Source organism: Homo sapiens, chromosome 18 (genome assembly GCF_000001405.40).
Source record: "Homo sapiens chromosome 18, GRCh38.p14 Primary Assembly".
Lineage (NCBI taxonomy): Eukaryota > Metazoa > Chordata > Mammalia > Primates > Hominidae > Homo > Homo sapiens.
The window spans coordinates 46305548-46318698 of NC_000018.10; the positions used below are offsets into that span (position 1 = coordinate 46305548).

A 13151-nucleotide genomic window follows, 5' to 3' on the forward strand; every position below is an offset into this window, starting at 1 on the left:
AAATTCCATGTGCTGTCCTTTATTTTATTTTATTTTTGAGACGGAGTCTGGCTCTGTCACCCAGGCTGAAGCACAGTGGCATGGTCTCAGCTCACTGCATCCTCCGCCTCCCGGGTTCAAGCAATGCTCCTGCCTCAGGAGGAAAAAGTAATCATCTTGTTTATATCTACAAAAAACTCCCACTGGGTTTTAATAGAGATTGTGTTGGATCTATAGATCAATCTGGGGATAGCTGACATTTTAACAATATTGAGTCTTTTTTCCCATGAATACTCTGTGTCTATCCACTTATCTTTGATTTCCTTCAGTAGTATTTTATAGTTTTCAGCAGACAGATCCTACATATATATTATTAGATTTATACTTAAGAATTTCATTTTTGGGTGCTATAGTAAATAGTACCTTAAAATTTTTTTGAATTGTAGTTTTTCATATCATAGCTGGGGTACATAAAATGCAATTGATTTTTATTTTATTTTATTTTAGAGTGAGGGTCTCATTTTATCACCCAGGCTGTAGTGCCTTGGTGTGATCATAGCTCACTGCAACCTTGAACTCTTGAACTCCTGGGCCCAAGTAATCTTCCCACCTCAGCCTCCCAGGTAGCTAGAACTATAGGCATGCACCATCATGCCTGGCTAATTTTTCATTTTCATTTTTTGTAGAGGCGGCGGCAGGGGGCGTCTCACTATGTTGCGCAGGCTGGTCTTGAAATCCTGGCCTCAAGTGATCCTCCTACCTCAGCCTCCCAAAGTGCTACAATTAGAGGCATGAGCCACGATGCTCAGCCTACAATTGATTTTTGTATGTTTATCTTGTATCCTGCAACCTTGCTAAACTTACTTTTGAGTTTTAGGAGCATTTTGTAGATTCTTTAGGATTTCCCACAGAGATAATCATGTTATTTGTGAGTGGAGACCATTTTATTTATTTATTTCCCATCTATGTGCCTTTCATTTCTTTGCCTTGCCTATTGTATTGAGTAGAAATTCCAGTGCAATGTTGAATAAGAGGGGTGAGAAAGGACACCCTTCTCTTATTCTTGATGTTAGGAGGAAAGCGTCTAGTGTGTCACCATTAAGTATGCTGTTAGGTGTAGGGGTTTTTTTTTTGTTTTTTGTTTTTTGTTTTTCTGAGACAGTCTCGCTCTATTGCCCAGGCTGGAGTGCAATGGTGCGATCTCTGCTCACTGCAACCTCTGCCTCCTGGGTTCAAGTGATTCTCCTGCCTCAGCCTCCTGAGTAGCAGGGATTACAGGCATGCACCACAATGCCTGGCTAATTTTTGTATTTTTAGTAGAGACAGGGTTTCACCTTGTTGGCCAGGCTGGTCTCCAACTCCTGACCTCGTGATCTGCCTGCCTTCACCTCCCAAAGTGCTGGGATTACAGGCCTGAGCCACTGCGCTCGGCCTGTAGGGTTTTTACAGATGCTCTTTATCCAGTTAAGGAAGTTTCTTCCATACCTAGTATGCTGAGAGTTTTTGTTATGAAGGCATGCTGAATCTTGTCAAATGCCTTTTTATATCTAATAAAATAATCGCATTGTTTTTCTTTATTACTTTGTCAATACAGTGAATTACATTGATTTTCAAATGCTGAACCAGTCTTACATTTCTAGGATAAGACTCACTTGGTCTTAGTACGTTATCTTTTTAATTTTAATTGCTGAATTCGATTTTCCATTTTGTTAAGGATTTTTGCATCTATGTTCATGAGGGATAGATATTTGTTTTTAATTTATTTTTCTTGTAATGTCTTTGGTTTTGTCATTAGGGTAATTCTGGCCTGGTAAAATGAGTTGGAGAGTATTTCTTCCTCTTATTTTTGGAAGATATTATGTAGAATTGGTATTATTTTTTCCTTAAATGTTTGACAGAATGGGAAGCCCTGGAGTTATCTTTATTGAAAGGTACTAAACCATGGATTCAATTTATTTAATGGATATATGACTATTTAGGTTATCTGCTTCTTTTTGAGTAAATTTGGTTGTTTGTGTAAGAAATTACCTACATTCCCTTATTATCCTCTTAATGTCTGTGAAGTCTGTAGTGCTGTCTCCTCTTTCAATTCCCATCTTGGTAATTTGTGTCTTCTCTCTCTCTCTCTCTCTCTCTCTCTCTGCTAGTATGTCTGGCTAGATGTTTATAAGTTCTATTAATTTTTTCAAAGAACCAGCTTTGTTTCCATTGATTTTGTTTGTTGTTTTTCTGTTCTTTATGCCTCTCCTTCTGCTTGCCTTGGGTTAATTTACTTTTCTTTTTCTAGTTTATTAAGGTGGAAGCTTATTTTACTATTTGAGATCTTTCTTTTTTCTAATAAAAACATTTAGTGTTATAAACTTCCCTCAAAGCACTACTTTACCTGCATTATACAAACTTTGATATCTTGTAGGAGAAAGCCACTTTAAATGGCAATAAAATATTTAAATAGTAGCTGGGTATGGGAAATTGAAAATAAAGAGCTTAGACACAAATTAGAAGGTTTCATTGGAAGCTAAGACTACTAGCAGTTGGGAATGAGCAGGCAAGTCTTTATAAATGAAGTGGGATTTGAACACAGCTTTAGAGATGGCATAGTGAAGGCTGAAGGTTGCCTAGCCAATATCCATTGCACTCTCCTTCCCTAGTAACAGAACCCTGTGCTCAGTTGAGAAGAGTTTCCCAGCCTCCCTTATAGTTGGATGTGGACATGAGCCTGGGTTCTGTGGATGAGATGCAGCAGAGGTGGTGTCTGTGACTTTGAGGAAGTTTCCTTCAAAAGAAGTGGCTCACAGGGGAGATATGCATTCATTGCTGTTCTCTCTGTCCTTCTTTTTCTTCCTAGTAGACATCTTGGTCTGCAAGGCATACTTGGGGTATGGAGTGGGTGTATGGGGATGCCAGAGCAACAAGACAGAAGCAGCCTGGGTTCCTGACAATTTTATGGAGTTTCCACACCAGCCCTGGATTGCTCACCCCTGGACTTACTCTACCCAGATATTATAGAATATACCATTGGATGTTTGAGCCACTTTTACTGGGGGAGGAGGGATTCAGTTATATGCAGCTGAGGCCAGTCTTGATCCTGATGAGGAGGATTAGGAATGTAGAGGGGAGAAGAAAGGGCATTTAGCAGAGGGATGAGGAGCAATGCTGGAGGAAAGCCTGGGGAAGATGAAACTGGTGGAGTGGAGACCAATTTGTCTGTGTAGGGCAGTAGTGGGAGGTGGGTTTGGTGGGAGCCAAACTCTAGAAGGCCTTAAAGGAATCTAAATGCTACTAGCCTGCTGGAAACTTTGGTAAATTGGTTTGACTTTCCTGGCCTGCTTCCTCATCCATAAAACCTGGGGATTTACTTGGATCAGAAGCTTTTAACCTGAAGTTCATGGACAGATTTCATGGGAGTCTAAGAACCTCTTGCCAAATCACATACGTTTTGCATCTATGCTATTTTTCTGGAGAGAGGCCCACAATTTTAATCAGATTCTCTAAAAGGTCTGCAGCTCCCAAATAGTTAAAAATCACTAACCCAGATGCTTCCTGCATGAAAGGTCTCTCACTGACTTTATCATGTGGGCTAGAAGGAGCCTTTGGTGTTTTCTAGGGGGCAGGAAAGTGAACATGGTAAAATTAAGGTTTTGGGTGCCTATGAAACATTTTTAATCTGATAACAAATACCTATATAAAATGTGTTTTTAAAAGCTACAATGCAAGAAAAAGAAAATTAAAACTCTCCTGTAATTACTCAACCCTATGAACACTATGGTAGCTTCTTATTTTCAGATATATATGTGTGTAGATGTATTTTATTTTTTTAAATTTTTATTTATGTGTTTATTTTTTTGAGGCAGAGTCTTGCTCTGTCACCCAGGCTGGAGTGCAGTGGCACGATCTTGGCTCACAGCAACCTCTGTCTCCCGGGTTCAAGCAATTCTCGTGCCTCAGTCTCCTGAGTAGCTGGGACTATAGATGTGCCACCATGCCCTGGTAGTTTTTGTATTTTTAGTGGAGATGGGGTTTTGCCACGTTGGCCAGGCTGGTCTCCATGTTGGCCAGGCCGGTCTCAAACTCCTGACCTCAGGTGATCTCCCCGCTCGCCCTCCCAAAGTGCTGGGATTACAAGCATTAGCCACTGTGCCCAGCCTATACATATATTTTAAAAATAAAACTTGGATCACCTAAATGTACTGCTTTGTAACCTGCCCTTTCACTCAGCAACATACAGTGAACATCTCTCCATGCTATGAAGTGTTTTTCTACGATATCCATTTTCTATGGCTAGGGAATACACATACAGGAATTTCTGGGCATTTTTGTGCTATGGGAGGCAAAGGGTTTTGAGAGTAGGTGCAGCGGGGGCACCAAGTTAGCAAGAATCTGACACTGTGCAAAATGCCAGGAGGCTGCGATCAGCATCCCCAGGCCGCCTGGGGGTATGAGATAGAAGTGATGAACTTCCCCCCACCCTTGAACTAACTCCAAAGAATGGAATTGGGGGTGCACACAGAGCACAAGGAGTAAACTGCAGGATCCAGAACAGGCACAGAACTAAAAGCCAGAAATAAACCCCAGAGAAAATCATACGGGAAAATGAAAACTTTCCTGCACAGGTGAGAGTGGATTACAGACACGATGGAGCAAGTGGCGTTACCTGGAAACCCGGTTTGCTTTAAAGCTCTGTGAAGGGCTCTGTGCCCTCCCATGCTCCCACCAATGCCTTCTGGAATCCAGATCATATTTATCAGGACAAGCCCTGCCATGACTTTACCTTGAGAGAAGACACTAGAGATTTGAATCCTTTTGATGGCAGGGATTCAGGCGCTCATGTCTAGATCTGTCCGCTGGGTGAAGGGAGTGGGTGCACACTCCCAGGAGGTCCTGGCATTTGCTGGGCACTGTGCCTCTCACAACAATTTGAGCTGTAGGTATGATGATCCCACTTCCTGGATGAGGAAATGCAGGCCTTGAGAGGTCAGGTGACTTGCTATGGTCCGCTAACCAAAGGCTTATGTGAAGAGACCTGAAGTAGGCAGGGAGAATAGGGGCCCTTGGAGGAAGGTTCCCGAGGGAGAGGCTGGCAACTGCAGCATCTGTGTCATGCTCACCCTGGGGTGGGGCACAAAGACTGTGAGGTTTGGGGGTGGGTGGTGTGCAGGTGGGCCCAGGCCTGTGCGTGTGGAGTAGGTGAAAAAGTGAATGACATGCAGATTTCAAAGGGGAAGGTTAGAGCTGGGAGCTACCTACTGAGCAAAAGCTGATGAAAAATCCCCTGGCTCCAGATGCCACTGCAGGCCCCTGAATGGGGAGGGTGGCAGAGCTGGGCCTGGGCCTCTCCTTCAGCATGGGTCCCTGTTTTGAAGTGCTGAGAGCAGGGGGAGGGTGATGCTGGGATCTTTCCACCAGGAGACTCACCCATGGAGGCGGGGACAGAGGGGAGAGTGTTGTCCTGTTGCATTTCAAATCAGAGCTGAAGCTCAAGTCACCCTCCTCCCCGAAGCCCCCATACGCCTGGCACACTTTGTCCTCTCTCTGTTTGGACTCTGTCTGTGCCCCTCATCTGTGTCACTCAGTACACACTGGTCCCATTGCCGGGGAGCTTTCATCTTCCGTCACGCTCTCCTTCAGAGGGCAGGGGAATGCTGCCTATCCTCCAGGCACCTGTCCCCTCCGCCCGCCCTAGGCCTGAGTCCTTGTTAGAGACTTGTTGCCCAAAGCTCTTCCTCTGCCTGGTGGTGAGGACTGGTCCAGGGGATAAGGGGCTCATGCAGGGCACCCTGAAATTAAGGGTGTGGTAAGCCAAGGAAGGGAGCAACTGGAAGATGCTGGGAGCCAGACTAAGGATAGAGTGTTCATGAAGTGACAGCTGGGAGCTGCAGCCTTTACAGGGCTAGAGACCAGATAGCTTTCTTGAGTCCCTGTGACAGAGTTGCAACTACAGGGCCACTGGACACATAAAAAGGGAGGCTCAAATCTCATATCTTCCTATCATGTATATTTTAATATCTTAGTAGCCTCTTAAGACCTCAGAGCCTCACTTTTCTTACCTGCTGCCAGCCTGATCTAACAAGCAAATCGGATCATGGTGCTCCTTGCTCAGAGCTCTTGGGGGAGGTGACAAAGAAAATCCCGGGCCTGGCCCCTAAACACTTTCCTGCCTACTCTGTCTGCCTTCACCGTCTCAGCCTAAGCCCACACCTGTCCCCCAACCTAACAGTGGGGCCCACACTCCTCCAGTCTTCTTCCCCAGCCCTGGTCTCTCAGCCACCCAGGGGCCACTGGTTGGAAAGGAGGAGCCTTGTGGGTGGGTGAGGGGCCTCTGGTCTGGAGCTGGTCTGGATCATGCTGTGGGATGTGGCGGAGGAGGAGGAGGAGGAGGAGGAGAAGGAGGAAGGGGATAGAGGCTGGGGATTTGCTGCAGGTCCCTGCAGAAAAGCCCACTGGGGTCTTTGGCCCCGGTCGGCCTCCCCTCTCCTGTCTCAGAGCCTCTTGGCTGCAGAGAGCAGAAGTTGGGTGTGGGGTTGGGGGGTGCTCGGGCACAGCTGCTGTGCCACCCTCTGGCAACAAGTGGCTGACAGGGGTGCACCCAGGTGGTGGTGAGGTGAGCCCACAGCCCTTAGACCCACACTGCCCCATGAATGCTGCTTTCTCACCCGGGAAGCGAGGGACCCAGGCCATCATCCAAGTTAGGGTTCAGGCTCCCTTAATTTCTAGGGGAGCCTTTCCTCTCCTCTCCAGCCTTGAAGAAGCCACTAGTCTTCATGCTCCCTTTCCTCTCCTCCTTCCCTTGAATGGAAGGGTGCTGTATGTCTTTACAATAAATACAGTGCTCAAGACTGAAGACCTCTTACGTGTCCCAAGCAGGGCAGTTTGTTCCAGTATGTTCCAGCTCTGCAGCCGGAGTATGCGCATTTGCAGCCTAGCTCCCGCACATCCTAGTTCTGACCTTGGGCAAGTCACTTAACTTCAGGGTGTCAACGTCCCTGTCTGTAATATAGTGCATGACAATAGAACTCAATCCTAGGGTGAAAGAGGGCTAATAGAGTTAACAGCGTCAAGTTCTCAGGACAAAGCCAGGCACACACTGAATGCCTACCAAATAAGAGTGATGATCATTACTTTTCCATGTGACTGGTTCTTGCCAATGACACTGAGTAGTAATACTGGGTCACTTCCAAGATAAGATATGTTGGCTGTTGAGAAGCATGTATGCCTTCTCTCTGTTCTCCTTCCCACCTGCCCAGGGGAGGCTGGCAGGTTAGCAGGAGCTGAGGACCCTAACTTACCAGGTGGGAAATGCTGCCTGCCTGCCAGCCAGGAATATCCAGTATTTAATAAGGAGATCTAATTTGAAACACTTGTGGCTTGTTTGTTACAGCAGCTGAAGGGCTTCACAGAGAAGTTAATGCTTGAGCAAGGTTTGAAGGGTGGAATTGGGGTAGGGGGGGTTAGAAAGAGAAGTGTAGATTTCAGCCTAGTAGAGAAAGAATTGTTGGATAGTGACAGGTGGCCCCATAATCTCTGTGAGGCAGCAAGGTCCTTGGGCTTGGAAGCATATAAGGAGAGCCAGTCAGGAATGTTATCCTGGAGAGCAAGGTGGCCTTTCGCGTCCCCCTCAGCTCCGAGGTCACTTCCAGCTTCCAGAAGGAAGGAGTAGAGTACTCCACGAGGTTGCCTGGAGTATCCCACACCTTTCTTCAGGGCTCGCCAAGCCTGGAGCGAGAGCCCACCGTTAACTGCCTACAATGACCATGTTAATTGGGTATACGGAGAAGCCACCTACAGTTCCCAACGTGTCGACCAGGCTGTGTTCCAGAAATCTCTATGTGAGCCAGTTGTTTGGAACTCATAATGCATTTCCCCATAGAAACCAAGTTATAAATGGTGGTTGGTTTTTCAGGCCAGTCCACAAATTCCTATTTAACTCATAGTGTTCCTGGAGTTTATCATTAGCAATGCAACGTTAACTGCGCTTGGTCACCATTTAGAGCGTGACGTATGTGGGAAAATGCATGTCAGGTTCCAGTTTGGAGTACAGGCATGCATCTCAATTCTATGTGGCATTAGGGGGTTTAGGGGTGTCGTGGGGAACCTGAAGGAAGGGCAAGTACTTTTGGGTACCAGGAACCCCCACTGCAGATGGAGAGCTCCATGTCCCCAAGGTTCTGAATTGAGGAACAATGGGCAAAGACCCACAGTGAGATGGGGCAGGGGCAGGAATCCAGACACGAATGCCTCTCCCCCACCTCACTGGGCAGATCGGCCATGGTGCCTGTACACTCTCCATGACCCTGGGTGCGACTGAACTTTGGCCCAACCAGGCTCCCGGCTGCAGGCAGCCCATGTGCAGGCCACTTAGTGACCACCTGGCTGAAAGAACACTGCCGTCTGGGGAAATGGAGGTTGGCAAAGCCAATCCACTGTGGAAAATGGACCGCAGAATAGAGAGGGGCCAAGTCAGCTGGTAGCCAGGAAGGACTGCAATGGAGAAATACATTCACCTGCCAGGGTTCCAGGAGGCAACTGACAGGCATTGACTCTAGTTTAATTAATGGAAAAGAAGGTTCTGCAAAGGGCTCTGGGCTACGCACTGGAGAAGGCCCTGTTAGTGCTATGGCCAGAGCCCTTGCATTCACCGCCACACCCTGAAGTCGGCTTACTGTGACAATGCACAGCTCACTGGACGTGGGGAACATGCTTGGCCTGTGTGTGGGGCAAACTGGAAGTGCTGGAGCTAATGCCTGTGGAGCAGCTCTCAACCAATGACGGGCGGGGAGGTGGTGAATAAGTACCCCAGCTCTCCCTTCCCTTGATCGAGGTAACACTGAGGCCTGGTCTACACTGTCTCCCAGAGTTCCCCTGCAGGATTGGGCTCTGGTTGCCCTCAGTGGTAACTGGCTTAAAATAACAGTTAGCTTTTGCTATGGAACAAATCATCCTAAAATGCTGTGGCCTAAGGTAATAATGATGAATTGTTTCTCATGATTGTCTGGGTTAGCTGGTGGGTCTTCTGCTGGGTTTGCCCAGGCTCATGCATGCAGCTGCGTTCAGCTGGAGGCTGGCCAGGACAGAAGGCCCAAGACGGGCTCACTCACACATCTGGTGGGTGGCTGGGTGCCTTGGTTCCCCTCAACGTGATCTCTCATCCTGCATGAGGCTAGACCGGCTTCCTTATATGACGGTCTCAGGGCAGCATTCCGAGAAGGCCCAGGCAAAAGTGGCAGGGCTTCTTCAGGCCTAGGTTCCAGAACACACTCAATGCCAATTCTACCATATTCTGTTGGCCAAAATGAGTCTTCAAGACTGGCCAGATTCAAGGGGTGGAGAAATATACTCCACCTCTGGATGGGAAGGGCGATCAAGTTCTTTAACAAGAATTGAGGATACTGCAATGGGAGAAGTCACAACTATGAAACAATCTGCCACATTTGATAACTTTGTTAGCTTCCTTCCCTTCTCCTATCTTCCCTTCCTTCCCTTGTCTCCTACCATTGTCTTCTGGCATCTCCTCTCAAATAAATCCTTACACTTGAATATTTGAATCAGTGTCTGCTGCTGGGAGAACCTAAACCAAGAGCCACACAATCATTTGGCAGGCTGGGAGCCAGGCTGCAGGCGCAGCTACCAGGCAGGATAGCCCACACCATGCCACAGAGGAAGCCAGGGCCACTGTCCCAAGCTGGTGCCTCTGCCCTGTGGTACTTTCTTCTTCAGGTGCCCATGTTTGGTCAAAGCCTGTTGGGGTGAGACTAAATGGTGCAATCTAGGTCACCTGCTTAGGGTGTTGTTGCAAGGAGGCTGCAGAGGTGAGGTTTCTGAGCTCAGCAGTGGGGAGGAGGGACTCATACGGCTGGAAATTCCCCCAGGCAGAGCAAGGCTGTTCAGCACTGTCCACTTCCCCTAGAGGAGCAGAGAAGAGCATGCAGGAAGGCATGACCCTAGAGAGGGGCAGGTCCCCAGGGTGGCCTGGAGTGGCTTTCCCAGTTTGTCCTGTCTGGCCCAGTTTCCTGCCCAGCACTTTCGCCTTTCTTAAGGTGGTCTAGGTAAGGCTTGGTTTCTTTCTACCAAAGAAGTCCAGCTAACCAAGATCAAGGTCCTATAAACACAGGGATCTGTGCCGTGGTGTTTGTTGTTCCCTGTTCTGGAATTGGGACCACAAGACCTCCTAGAGAGAAAAGGGACTTCCTGGGCCCCACCATCCCCTACAGAGAGCCCACTGGATCTTGGGCAGCATCCCCTGCCTTGGTCCCTGTGATGGTTAATTTCAGGTGACAACTTGACTAGGCTAAGGGCTGCCCAGGTAGCTGGTGAACATTATTTCTAGGTGCATCTGTGAGGGTGTTTCTGGAAGGGATTGCAATTTGAGTCAGTGGACACAGTAGAGAACACCCTCGCCACATGGGAGGGCATTGTCCAATTGGCTGAAGGGCTGAATAGAATGAGAAGGCACAGGAAGGGCACACTTGCTCTCTCTTCTGTGGCTGGGATACTCATCTTCTCCTGCCCTTGGACATCAGAACTCCAGGTTCTCAGATCTTCAGACCCTGGTACTTCCCAGAGCCCAAGTTCTTAGGCCTTTGGCCTCTGACTGAGAGTGATACCATCAGTTCCTCAGGTTCTCTAGATTGTGGACTCCAGTGGAATTCCACCACCAGCTTCCCTGTTCTCTATCTTGCAGATGGCAGATCGTGGGGCTTCTCGGCCTCCATAACCACGTGAACCAATTCCCATAATAAATCCCCTCTGATATATCTCTCTCTATCCTAGTGGTTGCTTTTCTCTGGAGAACGCTGACTAATCCAAGTCCCTAACAGATGGCTTCTGTCCACACAACAACAATGCCTACTGGGTTCTTATAAGTACATTATACTTTCTTAAGGTAGTCTAGGTAAGGCTTGGTTTCTTTCTACCAAAGAAGTCCAACTAACCAAGATCAAGGCCCTATAAACACAGGCATCTGTGCCTTGGGGTTAGCTGTCCCTTGTTCTGGAATTGGGACCACAAGACCTCCTAGAGAGAAAGGGACTTCCTGGGCTCCACTATAATGGACCATAAGTACATTATGCTTAGACTTTGGTGGTTGTAGCTTGTTGGTTCATTTGTTGATTCATTACTTCAGTCCACAAATGCTTATTGTATACCTTGGAAATATTCACCCCTCTGGGGAGAAGCACAGACCCAAAACTACTAAGTAAGAGCAAATTCATGAGTCTTTGAACAGTGCTCATCAGTCAATCAAATCAGACATTGAAAAAATTTCAGTCATTGCCTTTCAATATTGCTGTACTTTAAATCGTTTAGTTAATTATAAAAATCAGGATGATATCTACACCCATTTAAAAAATCCAAATAGTCTGGGTACAGTGGCTCACACTTTGTGAGGCTGAGGCGAAAGGATCACTTGAGCCCAGGAGTTCAAGGCCAGCCTGGGCAACATAGTGAGACCCCTATGCACCTGTGGTCCCAGCTACTTGGGAGGCTGACGTGGGAGGATCACCTGAGCGCAGGATGTTGAGGCTTCAGTGAGCCATGATTGTGCCACTACACTCCAGCCTAGAAAACAGAGGAGATCCTATCTCAAAAAAACAAAAGAATGAAAAAGCCAAATAGTACTAAGCGGGTTATGATATAATGTGACAGTTCCCAGCACCACTCTTCCCTACTATCCCACTTCTTCCTTAAAGGCAAGTACTAAACTTCATTGTTTCTTCTGGAAATTACTCACTTCTACATGTTTGAAGAATATGCCTATGCTGGTATCTTTTGATTCCTTAATCGTAGGTCTTACCTATTGATTTCTTATTGTGATAGATGAGGTTTAGTGGTCTTACAAAAGAATCTTCTCTCTCTTCTCTCCTTTCTCTCCCTCATCCTTCCGATATGGCTATTTTACAATTTTTGCTTAAATCAACATTCAGTCTGGGCTATTATGCCTTTGCAAAATTTATTCACAGCTATGTATTGTAATACATGTTGTTTTCTTTTTTTGCTTTTGTTTTTCCCAAAGTTAATAATTGTTTTGTTGTTTTCATTTGCTTAGCTTTCTTTGTACCCATTGCATATTCTTCCCACCATATACTTTTCCATAAAGTCAATCATAGAAAGTAACCTGTTATTTCCAGTTTTTTCTTGGAGTTGTCCCTACTGGAGACCTCATTTTCCACCAATCTGAATTCGCTCTTCTCTAGGCCTACCATCCAGTTGTCAACCTGTGACTTCCTTTTGTTGTCACTCTTAAAATTCCCTTTGCCTTTCCTCTGAGTTGGAGCCTCTGTGTCCTGGATCTCATGGCATTCTCTTCCTTGGTTTACTCTCTTTCTTTGGAAGCATATCATCTGGCTAACACTATGGCATAGCAGCAGAGTCATAATAATGACTGCACTGGTCTGGACTGGCTGCCTACTGCCCCTTTTGAGTGTCCCTGTACTACCCTCCTGGAAATTCTCTTGGCTTTTCTTTAATGTATATTTTGATCCCTGCATCCTCCTCCTTGGTTTTAATGGTGAATAACTTCTAGTAGCTCTCTAAGAAAGGATTGGGGTGATAATTTTTGGAGACTTTGCGTGACTGAATAACATCTTCTCCCACCTGACTGACAATTTGTGTGGATATAGAATTTTGGGGTGGAAATTATGTTTCTTTAGACTATTGAGGGTCTTGCTTCATCCTTTTCTCTGCCGGTATGGAGGCTGAGACGTTGAAGTCTATTGGCATCACTGACCCCTCATGTGTAACCTGTGCTTTTCTCCCCGGAAGTTGATAGGATCTTCTCCTTGTCCTCGGTGTTCCAAAAATTCCCAGTGGTAGGCATTGGAGTGGAACTGTTTTCAGCCACTGTGCTGGAAGCTCAGTGGGCCACTCAGTGTTCATGGTGCAGAGAGCAGAATTATTAAAAAGACCCTTGAGCCTGTTCTGGGTTGCCTAGACATAAGCCTGCTGGGCTCCAAGTTCCCATCTCTCAGTAGGAGGAGCTCAGCAGAACCAACATCTTCCTTCCCCAACCTTGTCCCCGAGTGGGCGCCTGGGCCTACAAGTTCCTGCAGACTCCAGGGCCTCCAGATGCTGGGCAGCTGGTTACCAACAACGACAAACATCAAGTACCCTGGATCCAGACTGCCCGATGCCTAGAAGCCTATTGTTACTCTCAAGACAAGGCAATTTTCTTACCGTTGCCT

General features: G+C 46.8%; 1 annotated feature.

Moving 5' to 3' along the window:
- Nucleotides 5945-6578: an enhancer, noted in NCBI's record as "H3K4me1 hESC enhancer chr18:43891455-43892088 (GRCh37/hg19 assembly coordinates)". NCBI's record gives its function as "activates a minimal SCP1, AML or CMV promoter by ChIP-STARR-seq in primed H9 embryonic stem cells {active_cell/tissue: H9 hESC(primed)}" and the evidence as "EXISTENCE:reporter gene assay evidence [ECO:0000049][PMID:30033119]".